General features: G+C 36.1%; 1 long non-coding RNA gene and 1 pseudogene across 1 annotated transcript; both read right to left on the reverse strand.

Annotated features, from left to right (window-relative positions):
- PDZPH1P (PDZ and pleckstrin homology domains 1, pseudogene) overlaps nucleotides 1-9584 on the reverse strand; it is a 96086-nt pseudogene extending 86502 nt beyond the window's left edge.
- Nucleotides 11400-24951, reverse strand: LINC02115 (long intergenic non-protein coding RNA 2115). Its single transcript, NR_104670.1, has 5 exons — nucleotides 24820-24951; nucleotides 23909-23997; nucleotides 13283-13374; nucleotides 12670-12760; nucleotides 11400-11427 (listed from the first exon to the last, which is right to left on the reverse strand). It is a non-coding gene; the product is annotated as a long intergenic non-protein coding RNA 2115 (long non-coding RNA).
- Between the last annotated feature and the right edge of the window lie 837 nt (nucleotides 24952-25788).

The following is a 25788-nucleotide window of genomic DNA, read 5'->3' on the forward strand; positions in this document are numbered from 1 at the left end:
CAGACAAGAGGGTAATTAATTAGGGTATTATGGCAGAAACAGCAAGGTAGTCTGATGCCTACACATCGTCCACTTTGAGCTCCACCATGGATCAAGTAGCAATAATGATTGTACCTGCCTCTAGCCCAAAACAAATGTGTGCGTGAAAAAGTCAGAGATTGATGTCCGAAGACACCCAGATGGGATATGGACTATCCTGTGGCAGAACTCAGTTGTTGCAGCCTGAAGCATTCTTATTCACACCATTGAATATAGCAAAAACCATTGCGGATACTTTGCTGCCTGCCCATGTGAGTTGCTCAATTGGAGACAGCAATCAAGTGGATAGAGAAGGAACCAAAGAATAAGCACCCAGGTGAAAATCACAGAGTATTTGGGAAAAGCCAACACTGTGAAAGAAGGACAACAAACTCAGCAAATGCGAAATGCATATTTGAGGAAACAGTTGATAGAGCAATTTGACTAAAACTTTATATAATATGCTTAATGTTCTCAGAAGTATAAAAAATAAGGACAGTTCGATAAAAAAGAGCCACTTAGAGATTGTTGAAATTAAAAATAGAGTTGTTGAAATAAAAAAGTTAAAAAACAACAAGCTGAAGAGCAAAAAGGATTTAGATGAGGAATGAATTGCTGAATTGCTAAGCTGGAAGATGGCGCTAGGTTTTCTCAGAATATAGCACAAAGAGACAGAGATGCAAAAAAGGGAAAGTTAAGGCATATGGGGGATAGATCCAAAAGTTTCAAAGTCTATCTGAAAAACATGACAGCAGAAGGCAAATAAGAAAGGAAATTCATAGTTGAAAAAAAAAACCTAACAATTTATGAGAGTTGAAGAAAGAAATAATCAACCTTAAAAAGCCAAACAGGAAAAAATATTCAAAATATAAACACTGAGAGTCCCAGTAGAAAAAAATTTTAGAAAACCAAGGATATGGAGAAAACCCTGAACAATACCAGAGACAATATTGGATTAAAGACAAAAGAATCAGATCAGATTCAGACTTCTGATCAACACCACTGGTTACAGGAAGACAATGAATCAGTTTCTTCAGTAATTTGAACCTAAAACTCTATACCAAACTATCATTCAGTATTAAGAGAGAAATGAATACATTTTCAGATATACAAGAATTCAGTTTACCTCCCACAGAATCTCTGAAAAAAATATTAGATTACTATAGTTAAAAAGGAAAATAAAATAAGTCCTGTTAGAAATAATTGGTAAAAAAGCAAAGGTGATGAAAACTTATTGAAATATATTATTAAAGTAATTGTTAAAAATGTACACTAAATCTAGAATATATAAATGTAGCAGTTGTTAAGGGGAAGGGGAAATAGAAGTGGAAGAAAATGAACATTAGAACAAATGTTTAGCAGTGGGATTATTTTATTGGAAGTCTAATGTAAGAAGTATATTCTCCAGGGAGGTATTTCAAGGACATATGAATAGTAAAGGGATAATAAAACAACTCTATAAGGTAGTATTGTTAAAATAAAAATACAGGATTCCATATTTTCGGTCCTTGCTGCCAAATAGAAGCCATTGGAAAACTAAGACATTGATTGAGGAACAAGAATAAAAATTATCAGGACAAAATGGAGCATTTAAATTGGATTCTTCACTGTTCATATGAATGTAAGAAGGCTGTGGTGGTGATAATATAGTACAGTGTTTAATTATTTAAATTACTTATAATCTTTGTCCACACATTTACAGCTACATTCAATCCCTAACCTGTGCCAGCTTTCTAACTCGCTCTGAATAAATTATACCACTGCCTTCATGAATTGTACTTCTGTCATTGGCACAACCTAGGACAATCACTGTTGTCTTTTCATAAAGACATTTTTCTCGGCATCATGATACTGTCCTGTGCTTTTCTCTCTTTAATGAAATTTTCTCATTTTAGTATCAGTGTTTTCCTGAACAACTGGGTTACTTTGGTAAATAATATGCAAATAGCAAATGCCTATTTGTTGGATAAGTATCTTTTAACAACTTTAGCTGTTAGAATCTTAGAGCCAGATTAGTGGTAGTATGTGCTAAGTGTACAAATCCCCCTTCTATTTCTTTAACCCATATTTTCCCTTCAGTTGGATTTCCAATTGGCAAGCTATCTTTCACTCTCAGTTGCCACTGACTGTGGGGCTGAGATTTAGACTCTCAATAGAAAGAGAAACATTATCAGGAACACATCCATTTAAACAGACTCCCTCATTTCAGAAATTTTAAAATTAGAGGAAAGAATGTTGCTTAGAATTAAACACATTTATCTTATTCTTTTATATGATACATATTTTTGTAAACCAGCTCAAATTTCTAGAAATAGGATACAAATTTAATTCAATAAAGGACCCTATCGCTAGTTTTTTTAGTATCAAGAGAAAAGCAGCCCTTAGCAGGCAGTTATGTGTTTTCAAGACAGTAATTTACCAAGTTGAAATTCCTTAGCAGATAATAGTTGATGATTCCAAAAATATGTTTTATATAAAAGCTTATAATCACTATATTGCCGTGTTCAAGCAAGAGTTTATGTTCTGGAAATATAGGGATGGGAGATTGGTTACGTTTCAGTAAGTTGTCGCATTTGCTATGGTTTTGGAAAAGAAGCTGGCTGTCTACTCACTGGATTCTTCTGTGATATTGCTGGCAAATAAGCTCCCTGCTGCTGAACCGGGTTTTTTGCCTTCTTTGTATTGCTGCCTCCTTCTGGCCCACTGGTCAATTGCTTCTCCCTGGGAACCATCACTAGCTCTTCCACCTCTTGGAACCAATTCCTGGGATAACTTTCAGAGACTATTTATTTCCAAATACCAATCTAGATTAAACCACATTAAATATGTAAGTGAGACAACATTTTCAAGATAGATAAATCAAGATAGAAATATCATATAGTCCAATCATTGAAACATATAATTACAGTAGACTAGGACTAGATAATTTCATTCAACTTTTTTATGGTTCACTTTCAAATTTGTATTACTTAACAAAAAGAGCCATGTATCTTTAAAAAAAACACTTATGTGGAGAAAAAGGTGGGGAGGGTGATCACCAAGCATTGCCTCAGTGGATTCAATTCAACAGGTATTCCTAGGGTATTAGTAGTATGCTTGATACTATATTAGTTACTGTGGAGAAATGCAAGTAAATTGTTAAGTATGTCCCCTAAACTCTCAGTAAAGAAATAAAATGTTATTACCTGAATAGCATGTGTAATTATAATCTATGATATTGAATTTTCTATGAAACTCAAGTACTTATGGTTTTAGTTTTATTAATCAGGAGTATACAAATTTCATAATACTTCTGCTGCATATGCTGGCTAAAAATGAAGAAAAGTAAAAAAATGCCAAAATGCATGAAGGCTTTGTTAATTTTATATCTGAAACAATAGCAGCTTGAAATACTTTATATAGTTCCAAACTGCTGCTTTCTGTCATCACAAACCATGACATCATGAAACTGTGTATTAGGAGGAAGAAACCCCAAACTACTGCAGTACAATCAAACTTTTAAAAAAGTAACTGAAAAAAGTAAAAACAACAACAACAACAACAAAAATAGGAGAACATATAATACCTAGAAAGTAATTTAATGGGTTAGAATTAAGATTTTATTTGATGTTACCTTTTGATACTGTATGAAAGGCAGGCAATATACATTTTAAAAGAGGCCAACTCTTGACCTTTACTTTTATTCTATTCCCAGCAGCAAATGAGTACTTATAATTGGATCTTTGCAAATTAAAATCTAATTTATCAATATCAAAATTTATTTTCAGAACTATTTAAATAACAAATGGGATATATCTATGAAGAAATAAGCATCTTTATTTTTATATATATATATAATTATTAATGATCCATTTATGTAACAACTTAAACTTCACTTGTCAGAGGCCTGGCAAGGTGGCTCACACCTGTAATCCCAGCATTTTGGGAGGCTGAGGAGGGAGGATTGCTTGAAGCCAGAGGTTTGAGAACAGCCTGGGCAACATAGCAAGACACCCATCTCTAAATTTTAAAAATAGCTGGATGTGGTGGCATGCGCGTGTTGTCTGAGCTACTCGAGAGGCTGAGGTGGGAGAATCGCTTGAGCCCAGGAGTTTGAAGCTGCAGTGAGCTATGATCACACCAGTGTACTCCAGCCTGTGTGACAGAGTGAGACCCTGTTTCTAAAAAAAAGAATAAAATAAAATTCACTTGTTAAGGTTAAACAGGTGAGGAGAAAGAAGAATCATTACCTAATTCATTTTCCATTACTTTGCGGTGGACTCCTACCTCTTATGAGGGTGACAGGAAAACAACATTCATTCGATAATATTCAGTGTTCACTTTCTACATACTAATTTCTGTCGTGTTGGTTATTGGAGCGGTCACAATGAGCAAGATGGCTTTTGCTCACTAGAATGTTACAGAGTGGTGGAACTTTTAAAAATAATATAGAACTGATCTCTGGCCATTTCTCCAATGCTTGTTCTAGTTCCGCTATTTTTTGAGATTGAGAGTGTAGGTTAACTATGAAGGCATTCATGAGGAGGATAATTTTCTGATATCAAATACTTTACGTGTAACAGCAATTCTTTTTTGAAAGTGTGGAGTATAAAAGAAATCTTATGGACCTAGGAAACTGTGTATGATAATATGGCCCTGGGATATGGTGGGAAGACTTTTCCTCCAGGATCTTTTCATATACTTTTGATCTTTTCAAATTAGGGGAAAGTATATGTTCTACAGTGTGTTTTAAAATGTGATCTGAAAACGATTGAAATGCCCACCAAGTACAAAGTACCACTTCCACTGTCCTGCTTGGTATTTGTGGACTCTTAGGTTTGCAAAGAATATAGAAGGTGATTTGTTCTAACGAACCTCTCTATGCTCAAAACATTTCTACCAAATTTCTACCAAGTAATCATTCAATATATGCTTGAACACTTCCCAGACTCAAATTTATTCCCTATTGAGTCAGTCTAATCCTTGTATACTACAATATGATAGAAAGTTTTTATGTGATGCATTGAATCTATGTCTCAGTAATCTTCCTTCACGTGTGAGCCTCCCCTTTATTCCATGAATACCCAGTAGATATTTATCAAGTCTTTCAAGGAGTCAGGCAATTTGTTTGTACTGAAATGAAGACATTCAAATCTCTTGAGGGACTCTGTTAAAATGCACACTTATCACTTTGTAGCAACAATATATTAATCCACTAAAAAGCACAAATGTTTTATCAGTTGCTATGGTTTGAATGTATATGTCCCCCAAAATTCATATGTTGGAACCTAAGATCCAATGTGATATTATTAAGAGGTGGGGCCTTTAGAGATAATTAAGTCTTCAGGGTTCTGCTCTCATAAATTGGCTTAGTACTCTTTAGAAGGGCTAGATTAGGCCTTTTTGCCCTTCTGTGTATGCCATGTGAGGACGCAGCAACAGGGAGCCATCTTGGTAGCAGCAAAATGCTTAATACCTCACCAGACACTTAATACTGGCACCTTGACCTTAGACTTCTCAGCCTCCAGAACTGTAAAAAACAAATCTATGTTCTTTATAAATTACCCAGTCTCTGGTATGTTGCTGTAACAGCACAAATGGTCTGAGATACCAAACATGAGTGTGAAAGTGGAAAGCTACCACCTTGAAAGCCAGAGCAGGGCCTGGGAAATGAATGGGAAGACCACAAAAAAGAAGCAGATCTGGGAGGAGCCCTGCTGGAGAAAAGCAGAGCGTTGCCGCTGAAACTGGGATCTTGGAATGTGCGTCTGCTGAGAAATGTTGAAGTGGGCACGGGTGTTGAAAGCTCCTGATTTCACCAGAAGTCAGTTTGCTGGAAACTATCCCAACAGTTGTATTCTGCTACGTGAAATGAAATAATTTTTTATTCATCTTTTTATTCCCAGTGCTTGGTGCAGAGCCTGGGACCACAAACTTTCTCAGATTTGCAGTCCTCTATAACTTTGTGCCTTGATGTGAACTCTTAGAATCACTCCTATTTTAAGAGAAATAAAACATTTCACACATTGTATGTAAGTTTTGTGTTATATTACATACAAAGGGCTGTTTATGGCTATTTCTATGCCATGTAAAAATATCATCTAATCCTTCTCATTGTCTGTAATTTTCTCAGGCTAGCCTACTTTTGGTTTCCTCATTACATTTTTTTATGATATAGAATTTCTGGTTCTTTGGCAGAGCTCTTAAAGATATATTCACACCATTAACAGCTGAATAAATGAAGCCTTGAGCAACTACTTTTTTAACCCAACAACGTATAGCCCTTACCTGGCAGAGGAAGAACTTAGTGTTTAGTTATTAAAGGTTTGACTGGTATCTGGTATCTTTCCTTTATAACATGATGGCTGTTACTTCCTGCCACACCCCCCATACCACACCCACCTTCTCTTGTTTATCTAGTTCAGAGGTCACAGATTGCTTACTTTGTACTGTGTCTCCCAAATCTCATGATCTGCAGACTCATACATTAAAGAATCCAGGTCTCCTGCTATTTGGAAGTCAGAAGGCCTGTCTGTACTGGACCTGCGTTTTCCTTCCCTTAGGACACACTCGCTAGTTCACCAACACTCCAGACTTGCTCACATACAGCCTGCTTTACTCATTTACATCACCTGCCTGGCCCCTGTAGACAGTTCACATTGTGACGTCTAATCTAGTTGATTCCTAAACGCACACACATGGTGGAAGGAACTACACAAATATTACAGTGAACACTCATGTCAGGGACTCCGAATCTGAGGCACATGCATGGATGTTAAGGGGTTAGAGGATCGCTTTTCAAAATGTAAGTGTAAGTTTGTGCCTATATCAATTTTATAATTTTCTGGTAAAAACAGTCCAAAAGTATCCCAGTTTCTCAAAGCAATACACTCCCTGAAAAAATTACCCAGTTCTAGCCTGAGATATCAGTAATATGAAGACAATAATGTTGAATAAAGTATAAAGATATTCATAGTTCTAGGAGAGTTAAATCTATGCAAACATTTATAGATTCAAATATTTTGTATTAATATTATAACTGCTGAACTATGTTCCTGGTTTTGTTGTTGTTGTTGTTGTTGTTTGTTTTGGTATGTGAACTATTCAAAGAAATCTGATGTGACTTCCCTGCATTTATTTTTGCATTCAATAAATATTTGAGCACCTATACTACAGGACAGGTACTATCTAATTTTATGAATATAGCAATGATCAAAACAGGAAAAATCCATGCCCTCCTGGAACTTATATTCTAGTGAAAGAAGACAGAACAAAACAAAAATAAACCAGTAAAATATATAGCAGATTAGAAGGCAAAAAGTGCTATGTATAAATGGAAAAAGGATAGCGTTTGCCTGGGCTGTAATGAAGATGGTTCAGTTTGCAATTTTAAATGGAGTGGTCTGAGAAGACCTTCCTGAGAACATGCTGTGTGAGCAAAAATCTAAAGGAGATGAGGAGATGAGAATGAACCATGTAGACATATAGGGGAAGACTGGTCCAAGTAGTGGGAGCAGTCCATGCAAAGGGCCTGATGTGGATCTGGGCTGGAAGGTTCTAGGAAGTAAGTCAATATGGCTGGAAGAGTGATCAAGGAAAAGGATACAGGGAGAGAGTTGTAGGAATAGCCTTTTGATGAATCAGTAACACAGGGAACCAGTAGCTGGAATTGTTTACCAAATGGGACAGTTTCAAACTCTGATGTGTAATATCAGCTTTGAGAGAATTCTGACTTGAATTATTGATTTTCTTAAGAAATGTTTCCCGCTGGGAGAGGTAGGACAGGGAGGAACATGCCTCTGGGGGAAGGAGAGTCAACTTGGGAGATATATTCATCCAGGTGAGCATGTGTTTCCTTTGGGAGGCACAGTTGTTCTTACTGCAGGTTCCCTTGCAGTTCCAAATAACTATAGACTGAAGTCAGTGTTGGGATTAATGTCATTGATGCTGATTTCTGGATGGATGTTGGCACCAGGAAGCAGTCCCCATGACTGATGGTCCTTGCTTTAGGGTGTTCATATCAAGCAGATGACCATAGAGTTTTCATACTGTTTTAGGGCATTTACTCTCTACAAAACAAATTTCACATTTTATTCTAACAGTTATGTAATTGATTATGCTTTTTGTATTTTATTTCTACTTCTAAATTTTACTAATTTCATTCAAAAATCTAGAGACAGAACTACAAAGAAAATATACCTTCTCCTTTAAGTTTCATCATTCCAAATATAATTTCTGAAGCTATTAGGATTATTACCAGCAGTTTAGAAGACAGTTTTTACTCATTCAAAATGTATTTTAATTTACAATATGGAATAATGCTAACATTAAATATAAAATAATTTGGACTCATTTAAAAAAACAAGGGCCTTCTATGAAGTGACAAAAATGATATAGTGCTGATTTGAGATTGAAAGCAGACAGGCAGAATTATGTACTTAGGAAAGAACTTCCATCTTGGCCCTACTTGAGGTCTGGAGAGCTTCTGGGTTCTATCAACAATTTGGTCCAAGTAATGCACAAGGGAGGTCAGAGGTCTGCTGGAGGTCAGAGGCCCCATGGTGGCTCAGTGAGGATTAGGCAAGGTCGTTTCTGTTTTTTGTCCTTTGTTGTAATTACTATTCCACATGGCCTTCCAAGACATACATACAATGCCTCTGTAACACCACAGCAAGATTTAAAAATATATTTTATTACAAACATATTCTTCCTATTCTTCTGAACATGCTTAGCTTGCAAGAAGGAAAGAAATGGTGGATTATTTAAGAGTGGCAAAGACTAACATTTCCTACAAAATTGATTTGGCAATATATCAACCTTTTAAAGAGAAATTGATTTTTTTTTTTTTTACATTAAACTGCAGGCTTGAAGATGCACTATTTATGGGTGGAGTGGGTGATAATGTAAAGAAACAGACTGATATATGCTTGCCCGTGTTCATCTAACTCTAAAATATATAATATATCTTTAGCAATAAAGAAAACATCCCAAGCAATTTTAAAAAAGCCCTCATCTTAAGACTTTCCAAAGCTAAAATATATAAAAAATAATGAAAGTTAATGATTCTGTATAGCCCACCATACCTTTCAAAGCTTGCTTCTGAGGTGGCATCAACGTGTGTATTTGGTAACAGTAATTTTCCTTTGAGTCATTTTTGTTCTCATCCTCTTCAGTATTTGGCCCTGTTGATGCAATCCTTTGGCACTGTGCTGGCTCCTGTTTAAAACTAGTTAGTCCAAGGTTTTCTTTATCTTGGTTACCATGTAGGTCCACATCATTGGTCAGTGTTTTTTCAATAAGAAACAGATTATCTGAAGCACACACTGCACAGTTGGACTCAGCAGTGTTTGCTGAAAAATGCATTTGAAAACAGACTTTGTCACGATTCTCATTTGACAGGTCTTCAAAATCTCTGTGGTATGCATTATTCACCACGGGTATTATCTGGCATTTGTCTTTTTCAACATTTTCCAGAGAGCTGGGTGACTCTTTACGGTTTTTCATTCCCATGGGACAATTAGAAACAACTAGTTTCTTTATCATCTTGAATAATCAATTTTTGCTCTAACTCATCAGTTATGAAGGTCATAACTAGTGCTTTTGTTTTGGTCGGGGCTGCTATCTCTGGATGACTTGCTGTGACTCTGTTTGGTTCCATTCCACAGTGCTGTGGCTAATACCGTTGCGTGGGCTCTTAGCTGCTAGGCTGCTGCCAGAAGCAGGCCTGAGATTAAGACACAGTGTAATCTTCCTTTCCAGTAGTTGCTGTGCTTTAGCATGAGAGTCACTATGTAAAATGGCTTTGTTAAAGTCTCTGTCAGTCACATTAATCTGCTCCTTCTCATAATCTATCACACACTCAGCACAATGATTAAAAGAAAATGTACTCTCAGGGTTTTCCTTAGGTTTCAAATGTCTGGTGGCCCAGTGAGGTGGGCTGAATGAGGTGCAAGACTGCAGAGAAGTTTGAGTGGGAGGGAAAGATACAGAATTTGAGTTCTCACAGCATTCTGCAGGTGGAGTCTTGCTTCCTTTGCAGTAGATGTTGGCTACCTTTGCTTCTGTGAGCTACATACTCACAGAAGATGAAGAACTAAAGGTGAAGTTTTTGCCATCTTGAGTGGAAAGATGTCAGTAATGGTACTTGGCAAATAATTTATTCCTTCTGTGCTTTGCTGTACATGTGAGTCTGATGTGATATTTCCTGGGATATCAAAGTTGATTTTTCTCTCTTTTTCCACATCCTTAGAATCCTCGAAAGGCATTTTACTTAAATCTGCAGTACTTAAACTTGTGGTCTTTTGGGTATTATGTGAAGTAGGAAGAATTTTTTTGAGAAGAGTCTTAGACTCAGAGAAATGTTTCTTTCTGGGGGTGTTCTGACTAATTTTAAAGACCTTCTGCCGAGAGATAGCAGATTCTACCTCACAGTCTTCTAAGACTGTAGATAGTGTGTCAGGCTTATTTTTCTTTCTCTCCAGAGTCGAGGTTAGATAAATCACCACTGTATCAAAATTCTTCTCCTTCTCGACAGCACACATGCCAGGAGAAGAGACACACAAACAATCTCAACTCTGATGCTTGTTTTCAAGCTGCCACATTTCAGGATACCTAATACCAGACTGTGAGGGAGACCTGAAAGTTTCTTTAGTGGTGTGATTGGAGGAAATGTTTCTGTATTTAGTTACTTTTTTCCTTTCTTTTAGGATGAGTTATATTAATTAATATATTCTGTGTCTTAGTCATGTAGTTGACTTTAATTTCTTTTCTTTCAATGGTTACTTTCAGCAAGGGTCTGTCGGTTCTGGCAATTTCTCCTTCATGTTTAGACAGCACCTCAGGTTTTAGTTCTTCCACCAATATATTCTTATGTTTAGGAAAGCAGCTCCTAGAAGGGTAGCATCTCTGAATGTGTCTGATAGAGCAACGCTGGCAACATTTTGGATGTCTCTTTTTTTGTTGGGAACTGTATTCCTGGTTTACAGACAAAGTTTTTCTTGATTTCTATTTGCACATTGAAATCCCCACGTTTCACTTCTGTAATAAATTTGCCTTTTGCTGGCTTAAAGTCTTCTACTGTGCCTAGGAGATTCTGTAATGTAATGTTTTCTGATAATGATTCTCCATAGTCATTAAATGTGATCATAGGTAAGACTTTCTCCAGTTGATGAGAGACAGCCAAAGGAGGATCATCATTTCCCTTCTTCCTATGTATTTTGCTGTCACATGGATGCTGTTTCTTATCTTTAGGAAGAAAAGAAGAATTCTGCTTTTCATTCACAGAAGCAGACATACCCTCATCTCCATTTTCCTTAGATTTCCCTAATGTCCCAGTCTGATGAAACACAGGCTCCAAGGTGTCTCCTTTGACTTCCTTTTCAAGAACTTTTATATTTTCTTGGCATGCTCAGCCAGCAGGCTGAGATACACCTAAAGAGGAAGCAAAAAAATAAAAATTGGAAAGGTTTACGTGTTCATTTAGAGAACAGATGTTCCAATTTCTAGAATAAAATGCAATGCAAATCCTTTGTAAGTATTTTGGGTATCGGTTTTCATTCATTTATAGCATGTCAAAATGTTTTTCACAAAAGTTCATTTATAATAAATACATCACTTTAAATCAACCAATTCTCTTAGAGTGTAGAAATATCACCAGTAGTTTTATGAAGTAAGAATTTAATTAAGCTGTACTCTAAAACAGCAACTTGCAAAAGTGGGTGAAATGAAAATTTCACAAGAAACATATGCAACTAAATTTTAAGTGCAACTCTTGAAAAAGAACAGCTTGCTATATGATCAGGTATTTGAACATGGCATTATACTACAGGCTAAGTCAAGCTCAATACAATTTGAGATGGTACTACAAATGAAGATGTGGGTAAAAAGAATGGAAGAAACATAAGTATGCTTTTAGACAGACTTTCAAACATGTCCAGTAGTATCCTTTGCCCTGGGCTTTTTATAGAATAGGTTCACAAACTCAAAGTCTGTGGCATTTAAACAGGTAACATAAACAAGTGAAGCAGGCTGGGTATACATATTCTCTGCTAGTCAGCTCCAGCCACGTGAAAAGGTGTCCTGGTGTTACTGGATCATCTCATTTTTCCAGAAGAGAACTAGAATCTGGATTTTTTCCTATACTGTAAAATTTCTTAATTTCTAAGGATTAGTTCAAAAATTTAAAACAACAACCCTCTATAGGTGGAGGCCAGTATACTTAGGGACCAGCTTTTGCCCAAGAACTACCAGCTTGCAACCTGCACTCCTCTGTTTTATATTAAAATACATTCCTATGAGAAGCTTGTGAACCTGAGCATGAGGCACCAGAGCTTGTGTAAAAAACAGTGGACAAAAATATCTCAAATTCTATTTTAAACTACATCTGAGATTATTTGTTAAGAAAGAAGAATAGGCAACAAGTGAATACTTATATCATAAAGATTGATGAACCAGGTGTCAAAAAGGACATTTTTAAAAAGTTAAGTTTAAAATTGGAATGGATTATTTATACATTTATTTTAAATGTTTTTAACTTAAAATGATTTTTATTTATACTTATAAATTTTTACATAAAATGCTTATAATTATATAAATACTTATATAGAGAATAAATTCTCTTCAACAGGAAAAAGAACAGCATCGAGCATACTGAGATCACTTGAGGAGTCTAACCATTCCCATTTGCCTCTCTTCTAGCCTGTAGGAAGGTCTCTCTTGTCAGGTACTGAAACAGTTTCCAGTGGGCCTGGTCACAATCTGAGCTCTGTAATGTGGAAGTCATAAGAGAAAAGACATGGAGACCTATCTCTCTAAAGGCCATTTACAATAGACCATGGACACAATAACAGTTTATAGACTGATGGACTGCCTTCCAGAACTGGACTTTATTCTTTAAATAACATCTTCATGCCAAGAGCCATTCTGTTTATACCCCTTTCAATTTTATAATTTTATATTTTATAGCCCCTTTGAATTGACTACATTTTAATTTCTGCAAAAAGGGATATAGAGCAGAGAAAGTTACATAATAATGCATTGATAACAGATTCTAAGAATAATGGGTCCTAATAGTCCATATCTGAATATTTTTATTTAGATTTTTATTAGTTATAATACATATCATTAATGCAGAAGTATATAAATAGTAACTATAGACCAAGCTTCAAAATCATTTTATATGTTTTTATCTTCCTAGTTTTATAGACAGTCCTGTGATAAAGAAGAAAGTACATAAACTAAGCAGTTCATTTTTTACATACTTAGAAAATCATTGAATTGGACTTACATACTGTGGTATTCAAGATTTCCCATTTTTTACAGCCTTTTCTTCTTTTCCTCATCATTTTGGGGAGTTGTGGGTCTTCAGTTTTCACTGCCCTTTGAAAACAGCAAATAAATTTGAAATTATTTTCCCATCAGAATTTAGGTTTAGTCAAATTACTGAGTAACTCAACTCACTTGCCAACTTGATAGCATGGGTATCTGTCTGTGGTATCCCCACATGCTTTTCCTTTAAATATATTTTATTGTTGTAATTACATTAACCTTTTTTGTTTAGTTCCATCTCAACTATTTAGTGCATTGTTAGATATATATGTACATGTGCATATAAATGAATATTCAAACATATAGATATGTAAAACATATACACATATATTCGTATTTGTAGACATTTAGGATGCAAGTTGATGCATATTGTTTAATTATTTTTATGTTTCATTGTTTCCTATATTAATAGAAACACACAATTTTTTGTAAAGTTAGCCTAAATCCAATATTATGAAATTTGTAGCCCTGCTAAAAATTAAGTGGGGTAGGGAGATGGTTTGCCTTCATTACACTGTCATTATATATAACCATATTTAAATATTATGACTGAGTAAACATATTGGTAGAGTTGGTAATTCATTGTAGAAGACCAAATTCTTTACCTTAACTGTGAAAGAAAGGGTTATATTCTCTGTTGATGATGTCTTAACTAATAGAAGATGTTGGAGAAGGCATCTGCGGGAAGGCCATCTCCTAATTTCCCAATTATCACCTCAAGCAGGCACCTGCCTGTGCTCAGAGCTAAGCCTGATTCTAATTGCTTTACTTTAAAAGAATTAATCTGTCTGTAAAGATGAAAAGGAAATAGTTTCCCATGGAGGCAGTTTGCTTTAGGTGTATTTGGCCAGGCTGTGTCTTTGGACACCTCAGTCAAAAAGCTTGACTCTTATTTGTTTTATGTAAAATCAGGTTGCTTTGCGGCTAGTTTTGGCAAAAATTTATTAAAATTCTTCATAACTCATCTCTCTCCTCCAAGTCATAATATCTGTTGATTTAAAATACTTTTTATTCCATAGCCTCTCCAAATCTCTTAATTTTCTGAAAATTCTGCTTCCCTAGGCTGCCTTTCTTATATAGAGCAATTGATACTCTCTTGGCATCTTTCAATTAACCTGTCTACATTCTCCTGCAATAAGCAAAACTACATTCCTGTGGCTGATGAGGTGAGCAGTAATCCACTCTTCTTAGAAGGCCAATGTGGGGATTGGGTTGCGCAGAGGATTACAAATGCACAATTTAATATCTTTCTTTTTTTATCCCTGTCTTACACATATTGGGTTTTCTAATTTAAAAACGCTTCAAAGGCATTTGACTAGGTATAGATAGTATAGAAAAACGTATGGAGGTTACTCAAAAAATTTAAAAAAAACACTACCATAGGATCCAGTAATTCAACTACTGAGTATGTATCCAAAGGAAATGAAATAAGTATTTCAAAGAGATATCTGCACTCCCATGTTTTATTGTATAGCTATCACAAGTCAAGATATGGAATCAACGTAAGTGTCTAACAACAAATGGAGAAAGAAAATGTGGTATATATACATAATGGAATATTATTCAGCCATAACAAATGGAATCCTGCTATTTGTGACTACATGGATAAACCTGGAGGACGTCATGTTAAATGAAATAAGCCAGACACAGAAGGACAAATACCATGTGATCTCATTCATATGTGGAATCTTTAAAAAAAAAAAGTTGATATAATAGAAGCAGAGAGTAGAACAGTGGTTATCAGAGATTGGGGAGAAGAAGGGGTTAGGAAGGTGGGGAGCAGTTGGTCAACGGGTTCAAAGTCTCAATTAGATTGAACCAATGAATTCTGGTGTTCTGTTGCACACTAGGGTGACTGTGGTTAACAGGAAAACATTGCATATTGCAAAACAGCTAGAAGAGAGGCTTTTTGAATGTTCTCACCACAAAGAAATGATAAATGCATGATGTAATGGACACACTAACTACCTTGATTGGATCATTACACAACATAGCTATGTACTGAAATATTAAATTGTACCTTATAAATTTGTACAATTACAGGGCCAAATAAATAAATACTTTTTTTAAAAGCACATGACTAGGTTAGTGATTATTTCTCAATGGTTTCACATAGTTTAAACAGAAAAATGTAGCCTGCTGCACTGAGTTTAGTTGAGAGCACTTGACTTTGACTCAGAATATCTGGGTCTGTACCATGGCTCTGCTGCTCACTCAGCAGGTTGTGTCATATCTGTGAGGCTGAATTTCCTTTACCTCTAAGATAGAAATGCTAACAAAATTTAACTTACAAAGTTGTCTTGAATAAACACAACTGAAAACATTATCAATGGTTCCAGTGAAATGGTACTTGCTATTAACCTCCGTTACAGTATATATACATAACAATTAAAATATACCCTTAATTAGAGCTGAGCAGTGGCTGGCTTTGGGAGACTTGCCATCTTATCAGAGCTGCAGGTGAGGGCTTCAATAAAGCTGACCAAACCATACATTATTTTTGCGCTAGAATGTCTAGAAGTTTTCAAGATTATCTCATCCAAAGCTCTCAATTCGGTATGTGAAAAACTGGGACCCAGACCATCCGTGCTTCCTGAATCTCACTAATGGTGGCAAACCACTAATTAAGTAAGCTCTCTCTTTGAGCAGACACACGTGGTATAGATGCCTTGGCAATATGGTTAGGCTTTGTCAAATTCCCCACCCAAATCTCATTTTGAATTGTAATCCCCAGATGTTGAAGGAGAGACCTGGTGGTAGGTGATTGGATCATGGCAGAGGGGGGCGCTGTTGTGGGAAGCCAGGAACCCCAAATGGAGGGACCGGCTGAAGCCATGGCAGAAGAACATAAATTGTGAAGATTTCATGGACATTTATTAGTTCCCCAAAATTAATACTTTTATAATTTCTTATGCCTGTCTTTACTGCAATCTCTGAACATAAATTGTGAAGATTTCATGGACACTTTTCACTTCCCCAATCAATACCCTTGTGATTTCTTATGCCTGTCTTTACTTTAATCTCTTAATCCTGTCATTTTTGTAAGCTGAGGAGGATGTATGTCGCCTCAGGACCCTGTGATGATTGCGTTAACTGCACAAATTGTTTGTAAAGCATGTGTGTTTGAACAATATGAAATCTGGGCACCTTGAAAAAAGAACAGGATAACAGCAATGTTCAGGGAACAAGAGAGATAACCTTAAACTCTGACCGCCGGTGAGCCGGGTGGAACAGAGCCATATTTCTCTTCTTTCAAAAGCAAATGGGAGAAATATCGCTGAATTCTTTTTCTCAGCAAGGACATCCCTGAGAAAGAGAATGCATCCCTGAGGGTAGACCTCTAAAATGGCCCCCTTGGGTGCGGCCGTCTTCTATGGTTGAAACTGTAGGGATGAAATAAGCCCCAGTCTCCCATAGCACTCCCAGGCTTATTAGGATGAGGAAATTCCCGCCTAATAAATTTTGGTCAGACCAGTTGTCTGCTTCAAACCCTGTCTCCTGATAAGATGTTATCAATGACAATGCGTGCCTGAAACTTCATTAACAATTTTAATTTCGCCCCGGTCCTGTGGTCCTGTGATCTTGCCCTGCCTCCATTTGCCTCATGATATCTTATTACCTTGTGAAGCATGTGATCTCTGTGACCCACACCCTATTAATACACTCCCTCCCCTTTTGAAAATCACTAATAAAAACTTGCTGGTTTTATGGCTCAGGGGGCATCACAGAACCTGCCAACATGTGATGTCTCTCCCAGACACCCAGCTTTAAAATTTCTCTCTTTTGTACTCTGTCCCTTTGTTTCTCAGACCGGCCAACACTTAGGGAATATAGAAAAGAACCTATGTGAAATTGGGGGCAGGTTCCCCCGATAGGGGGCAGTTTTCCCCATGCTGTTCTCATGATAGTGAGTTCTCATGAGATCTGACAGTTTTGTAAGTATTTGGAAGTTCATCCTTCATACACTCTCTCTCACCTGCTGCTATGTGAGACGTCCCCTTGTGCCATGATTGTGTTTCCTCAAGCCTCCTCAACTATGTGGAACTGGGAATCAATTAAACCTCTTTTCTTTATAAATTACCCAGTCTCAGGTAGTGTCTTTATAGCAGTGTGGAAACAGACTAATACGCTTGGATTGCTTCTGACCATACAGAGCAAATTTTATAGTCAGTTTTCACTTTAGCATTGAGAAAGCACAACTTTGTTCCAGAAAATTGAATGTACTGTTTCATATGAACCTAGTATCTAGCACAGTGCCAGACACATAATAGGTACCTAATAAATATGCATGAATAAATAAATTAGATAGCACCAATCTGTACCTAACTATAGTTTTAATAAAGTGCCTTCTTGTATTTTTAAATATACTTTCCTTTTACATTGTATTTAATTTGTCGATAGTTAAAATTCTGTTTTTAAAGAAATAAATTGCTCATATTTTTTCCTACTTGTTATCTCTGTTGCTCTGTACTTGCATAAGAGGCATCCATATCAGCTGATGGCAGTGTCTGAAATCACTGGCTATAGGGGTACTATCAATTCTATTTTAATTGAATGGCAGCAAACATTTCTTCCTTTTTGCCTGTTAAACATGGCATGGCTGTAGCTGCATTTTCTAAATTGATCCTAAGCAAAATGAGGAGTGGGAGAAGGTATTCTTTAAAATATCAGGCTTCTGTTTCTGTACCTCTCTTGTCCTGTATGACCCTCTTCCTTCAATATGGTTGACCATTTTATGCTCTCTCCAGCCTCTCTCCCTATTTTAGAAAGGCCTATATAAAGATATAATAAAATGCTTAGAACATGAGCAATGTAGCAACACCAAAGAAAGTTTTGGACTATTAAATAATTTGATATTTGATTTTTCAAAACATTTTAAAATAGTCACTGTTAGAAAAAGTAGAATATTGTTGAACTTCCTCACACATGGTTTAGAATTTGTCATTTTAATTTCACATGGAGACACCAAAATTATTTTAAAGCTTTTCTACAATGATTTCATAATATTTACATATTTTCTATCTCTAAAACTATTTTACACTGTCTCTTCTCCAACCTCCTATCTGTCCTCCTCTTTCCACACTCTCAACGATGGGCTTGACACATTCCTCATAGGAAACAGAAGCTGAATGAAACTCTTTCTGCTTTCCAATACTAATTAATTATTAATTAATACAAACTGATTTCGTTGAATTTATATCATAGTCTATGAAATCTCTTTTATTTTGTGGAAAAAGTAAATGTACCTGAACCATTTTAATGCAATTATCCTCTCCTCTCCTGCAATATCCATTTCTGTCTTTCACTGCATCACTCCATCTACCATCACATGTCACTGTTCACCTTTACAGCAACACATCTTCATGGATTTGTCTATATTTTCTGAGTCTACTGTCTCTCCCCACAGCTTTTCTCAAGCCCACTCCAGGAACTACTCTATCACTTATCCCTACCACTCCACTGAGGGTGCTCTTACCCACATCGACCAGTGACATCCATATTGTCAAAGCCAAAAGTCAATTCTGTGTCATCTTAGGCACACTCTCAGCAGAATTTGACACAACTGATCACTCTGTTCCTCTTGCATCACTTTTTTTTTCTTTTAATTCCATGGTGTCACACTCTTCTGATCCTTATCCTGCTCTACTGGGCATTCCCTCTTAGATTCTTTCGCTGGATCTTCCCTTGCTCAGTCTCTAATCTTTGACATCTTCAGGGTTCCCTTCACTTCTTCATCAACTCCTTCCCTAGGAAATCTTGTCTGATAGCTTCAAAATAATATACATAGGTGATTCTAAAATTCATAATTTTACTCCTAAAATTCATAATTTCTTAAGGCCAGAAGTCCAGGCTTAAATATCTGACTGCCAAATTGATGTGTCTAGTCATATGTCTAATTGGAATCCCAAATTCATAAGATCCCCATCTGAGCTCTTAATGTTGTCTGCCTTCAATTCTTTTCTTCCCTAAATCTTTCCAATCTCAGTCAACAGCATCACCATCTATCTAGCTTAAGTCAAACACCTAGATGTTGTCCTTGACCCTTCTCTTTAACCTGCCTCATCCAATCCATCAGCAAGTTTGCCCTACTCTGTTTCTAAACATCTTATCCCAAATATGTCCATTTGTTTTCTACTCCATAGTTACCACCTCAATCCAAGCCACCAGATATATTTTTAAAAATCTGGACTAGTGCAATAACTTCCTAGCTGTTTCTCTTACGTCTATATTCATATCCTTTGATTATATAGCAGCCAGATTGATTTTTTAAAAGCATAAATTAAATCATGTTATCCCACCCCCTGCTTAAAACTCTCTAATGGCCTCTCATTTCACTTTGAAAAATTCTAAGCACCTCACATTTTTATACATATACATAAAATATTTTATTCACAAGTAAAATATATCACTACTAGACCTTTGGATATACATTAAGGAATCCATTTCACTACAAATTCCTTGGGTTTATATTTTTAATGTTTATTTTTTCTGTGCAAAATTGGCAATAAAGCTCAGGAAAGTTACTATGATTGCTATTATATTATCAGCTGAATCCTATCACATCTGATGTCTTTATATCAGATTTTACAGGTCTTTTTTTTCCAACTGGGCTTTAACTCATTACTATAATTTACAAGAAGAAAGAGGAAAAATGTAAACTGGAAATACTAACAATATCTTTTTACTGCAGAATTACACAGTATTACTGTTATACTCAGAAAATTATTGGATGATAAAGATTTTTTTGGGGGGAAAGATATTGTTATAAAATTTTACTGGTGTCATTTTTCTGACAAATTACCTAAAATTTCAATTGCTAAGTTGAAACATTTTCCTTGAAACAGTCAAAGGAAATGTGCTATTACCAATAAAAAGAGAAAGACTCACAAAAGAGTAGATAATGATATAATGATTGCTATTAAAATTCTAGAAAGAGACTAAATATGAAATAAATTCAGAAGGTTAAATGCTTAACTTCCAGGGTAGCACAGCATCTAGTACTCTTTGTAATTCCCATTGGCTTCAGTTTTCTATAGAATCTGAAAGAATTCTTATTATGACTTCATTTCCCCAATTTTAACACTATGTCTATGCTCTCTGTACTCTCTCTCTCTCTCTCTCTCTCTATATATTTATATATATATATTTATATATATATATTTATATATATATATTTATTTATTTATTTATTGAGACGGAGTCTCGCTTGTTGCCCAGGCTGGCGTGCAATGGCGAGATCTCCACTCACTGCAAGCTCCGCCTCCCAGGTTCTTGCCATTCTCCTGCCTCAGCCTCCCGAGTAGTTGGGACTACAGGCGCCCGCTACCACACCCAGTTAATTTTTTGCATTTTTAGTAGAGACGGGGTTTCTCCGTGTTAGCCAGGATGGTCTCGATCTCCTGGCCTCGTGATCCGCCCGCCTTGGCCTCCCAAAGTGCTGGGATTACAGGCGTGAGCCACCGTGCCCGACCTATGCTCTCTGTACCATATTTTTAAGGAAATTCATATATGTAAAACAGGTTCTGAAAAGTTCAAGTGTAATAATATTTGGAGAAAATTTAAAATTTCCATTTACTTTTAAAAGTATGTTTAAAGTGTATAAACTTACCCATTACTGTCAATTCTGATTTTAAACGGCATGAGATTTAAACTATATTTGTCCTTAAGTTTAAAAAAATATGTATGAGCATAAGAAGAGTTATATAGGAAAACAGGTGTTTCAATAATGCCCATATATCACTTCAGACTTGCTCTCAGCTTCTTGTTTACAAACCTGGGACCTGATCAGTAATTCTTAGTGAATAGTTTGCCAGTGTCTTGAAAGTATGAAGCCTTAGTTAAGATCACTGAAGGCTGTTTCAGTGCCTATTGCAAATTGTTCTTTATACTTTTACCTCCTTCTCTCTGTTGAAAAACACTGATGAGTAAATGTATTTATATCTGTATTTATATGCATTCGTGTGGATAAATGTTTGAATCCATTTGTTTAAATTTTTAATGGAGACATTCAACTCTCATATGTGATGAAACCAATTTTTACTTTCCCCAAGCATATGATGCACAGGTTGTTGAGGCATACAGGGAGTATTTAAGTCCATCTACAGAAGAGGCCCTTGGTGATCATTGGAGCATAAATTGCCTAGGGTCTTGAGTTTAGAAGAATAGGTATAAAAAACTTCAATACTAAAATAACTTTAACCATAAGCTTTGTTGGAACGCCATCACTCCGTTTGACTCACAACTGATCAAATGTAACTTAATGGATAAAGATAATCCTTGGAGAGACAAGAAGCCCATTCTATAAACATTTTTTTTTTTTTTTTTTTTTTTTTTGGGGACGGAGTCTCGCTTTGTCTCCCAGGCTGGAGTGCAGTGGCCTGATCTCAGCTCACTGCAACCTCCTTCTCCTGGGTTCAAGCAATCCTCCTGCCTCAGACTCCAGAGTGGCTGGTATTGCAGATGCTCGCCACCATGCCCTGCTAATTTTTGTATTTTTAGTAGAGACGGGGTTTCAACATTTTGGCCAGACTGGTCTCAATCCCCTGACCTCAAGCGATCTGCCCTCCACGGCCTCCCAAAGTGCTGGGATTACAGGCATGAGCGAATGCACCTGGGCCCACCCTACAAACGTTAAGTCAGAGTCTCTGAGGAAATGCAGACAGAAAAGAGGATTGTGTAGTGTAGAATTTACTATATCTAAAGTTTAAAGAATTGGGAAAGAAAAAATTGATATTAGTAAATGAAAAGAAAAGTGAGCTTAGTATCTAATAATGTGTGATACATTCAGTAATACCAGAAAATCTCTTAACAGTTCCAAAATGTCTGTTCTTTGTTTGACTGTCGATATGTGTGAGATCATCTATCCAAATCCCCCATTTCTTATTGGAGAAAAGTGGGAGAGATGTAGCAACTTGCCCAAGAATCATGGTCCTGAGATGCTGCTTCATTTTCTCTCTCCACCATGGTAAGGTTCTGAAAAGCGAACAATTTTCTTAAGATTTTTGAAAGATTTTCATTGTTTTACTCTGTTAAACTTAGAGGCTCTTCCTGACATGCTTCATGAACAGCCCCTTTCCTCTTTCACTTTATTATGGAATGATAAATTAAAATTGGGAAAATCCAGTGTACTTAACAACAGAGATAGCCTTTGAATTTGGCACTGTGCACTGTGGGCTTAAAGTTCCGAGCTGAACTTGATGTAAAAATGTAAATATAATGTACATTTCAAGGAGTTTACTGTTTAGCACAGGAATTCTCAAATTTGAATGTGGTTGAGAATCACTGAGCAACTTGCTGAAAATGTAGATTTTGACCTTCACTTTAGAGATTTGGAGTCTGATTGGTGATCCAGGTGTATGCAATTTTAATGAGTGCCCACTCTCCCACACCCTTATACACACACCAAGCGATTTTGATTAGAAATCCCACTGAAGCAGATCCAATTGAATAGGTAGAATGGAACTTCATTCAAAAAATCTTTGAAAGCCTTAAGATTTTAGGCTAGGGCTGCCCTGAGGAAACTTGCTATGAATTGTTTCACTTTATTCTATCTCATTTCTCATCTCTCTCAACTGCACACACTAAGGCTTGGATTTTTTGTTTTATTGTTTTGGCTTAAGATTCTCTGTTTCTATATCAACAAGCTTCTAGGAAGAAAATTCAGTGATAGATTGCTTTTTATTTTTTTCTCAGCCCAGTGTGAAGAGGCTGTACCCAAACTGTGTTCTAAATCAATCTTATGTTAGCTCACCAACATCCTTTTTTCATCTTGTACTAACTGGAACTTGTGATAAAAATCTAGCAAGTCAGATTAGCAGGCCAGGGCGGTTGGAGTAAGACAAATCATGTTGTCTTTTTGATTGCTTGCTCTCCTGTGTTCACATTCAGCTTCTCAGAGGCAAGGGGTTCCTATAGTTTGGGTACAACTGTAAGAGCTGAAACAGTTGGTAAGTACATGGAGAATAACAGTGTAGTGGAAGTGTTTGGAAGGAGGGCACTTGGCAGGATGAATGAGGTATTTAGTTTTATCTTCTTATTTATGATGGAGGATATATCTGCTCATCTCCTTAGTGCTGCAGCATCTGTGGGGCATATTCTTTATTCTGGAATTGAACCAGACCCCTGGCCGCTCCACAGTTGACTTGAGCCACATGAGCTTCAGAGGAACTTTATTACTGGGTTCACCAAACATATACAAAACACCTCAGTGTATACAGCCTTAGGTTATTCCAGTCTTCTGTGGAACCACTAGCGGTATGACCCAAAATGTGGGATCCACAAGGGCTAAGACCTTGACTATCTTATATTTTGATATCTTCCTATTCCATATGTGTGGAGGAAACACAGTATTCAATAAATATTTGTTGGATGAATGAACACAACTTTATTGTTCCCAATTTCAGTCATTTGCATACTACCTTCACGAGTTCTACAACATTCATAAAATAGCTGTGCTGTTATTTGCTTAATAGTTTTTTTATTCATTTTTTTTTACTTTAGCTTCATGTTCGGCAATAATATAGGTGAAATCCTGGGTTATATCTAACACATATTAAAAACAAATAATAAAAAGGAAATATCTCACCTTGCACCACTCCAAACCATTGTGCATTCCAGCAGTGGTGTGCGTCCCTTGCTTTAGAAGATTTTAAAGATGCAGTCATACTCTGCGTGCTATCATAATGACATTATTAGACTAGAAATCCCTGAAGAACTGTATTTTGCTTTGCTCCATTTCCTCTCTGGCTTTAGAATGACTATTAGACTGGAAGTTTAGCTAATCCCACATGCAGAATGATGTACGAATTAAGTATCACTGTATGAAGAGAAATCACCCTATCCAATTACAATTAGAACCTTAGCTACTCTCTATATTTTTTGAATTGCTAGGTCTGAGAAATCTATAATTATGGTTTTCCCCTACGCTGACCTTGACCAGCACAGGGAGTTTCAGAATCTATCTTGAAAAGCCCATTTTCAAAATTGACTCAGTCCTATGTGACATTTTACATTATTCCTCTTTGACTAATTATAGTCCACAATAAGAAGTGATAACTTCATTTTAACACATGTAAGTATTTCAAATAATAAAAAGTTTACTATGAAGGTGTAGTTCCATTAAGATAAAGAAAGAAAAAATAAAGCACACACATGTACTTAAATATATGATTAGATGCCTTGTAAAAGTTAGCAAAAGAATAGGCACAAAAGGCTAATTGAATACATCTCAGGGACTACTTTTTTTCTGCTCAAGACTTTCCTTACCTATTAATTAAATAAGTAATGCCTTTGAGTTTTCTAAAGAGGAATGCTGTCTCTTTTTTTGCTTATTGAAGTGGAGCCACACTACTTCAATAACCATGTTACAGAAGAGCTATGTTTCTCTGAAGACTTAATAATTGCTGAATCGCCAACTGTTGCTGGGTTTCAATGACGTCTTCCTAATTTTGAAATATTCAACCTTAAACCTCAGTTTGAAGTAGTATTTGAATATACCTTCAAACAGAAACCTCTGTATATAATTCCTCCGAAACATGAAATCCCTGTAACTCTTTCAATGAAGTTGTGTTGGTGTTCCCCAGGGGCAGAGCTCATCAATTCTGCTGACACCAGAGCTTCGGATTCCTTAAAGCAGAACCCCTGTGACATCTTCATTCCTTTCCAGTCTAGAATCAAGGAAAACTGATGTATAACCACCATTCTAAATTCTAAAGATTAAGAAAAATCTCAAGTAAATATTTAAAATAAACACTCAAAATATATCTTATCCCTAAGCAAAATTGTGCTTTGCTCATGGTAGCCTAAGAAATGGCTGCATGTTCATTCTACTTCAAGTCATTCAGAAGAAAATAATAAATATGACCTTTAAAATATTTTAGTGGCAATGTTATCCATTATTAAGAGCCAATTATCGTTAGCAATATTTAGGGCACTTTGGACAGTGCTAAATCTCATTATTTGTTCATAAATCAAGGTAACTTGAATTACTCTGAAATTACTGTGTTACCTCAGAAAAATAATTTGATAAGAATATTAATGCAAACAAGATACAAAGGCTTCAAAGGGGCTTTAATCGAAAGATTTAGAGGAGAAATCTCCAATCTTAGAATCACCATTTTAAAACATTTTCTATGCTTACTTATTCACTTAAGTAAATACATTTCTGTAGCTTAATCCAAACAAATGCATGTTTTTGAAAGCAATAAAAAGGCATTTATTTAAAAATGTTCTATGCTTACTATTTCCTGCTGACCTTCTTTTTATATAGCTTAAGTCACTGACTGTGCTGTATTTTTGCCCACTGTCATAAAAAAAGTATGTAAACTGCAGTCTGGCCAATGATGAGGGAATGAGAAATTATGCTTAGAATTAATCTGTCAGGTTAATTTAATCACTTTATGACTGGTTTTAAATTGGGCAGATAATCAGTGCTAACATCCCATTCCATCTCAAATTCACTGAGGT

The sequence above is a fragment of the Homo sapiens genome, chromosome 5 (assembly GCF_000001405.40).
Source record: "Homo sapiens chromosome 5, GRCh38.p14 Primary Assembly".
NCBI classification, from domain to species: domain Eukaryota; kingdom Metazoa; phylum Chordata; class Mammalia; order Primates; family Hominidae; genus Homo; species Homo sapiens.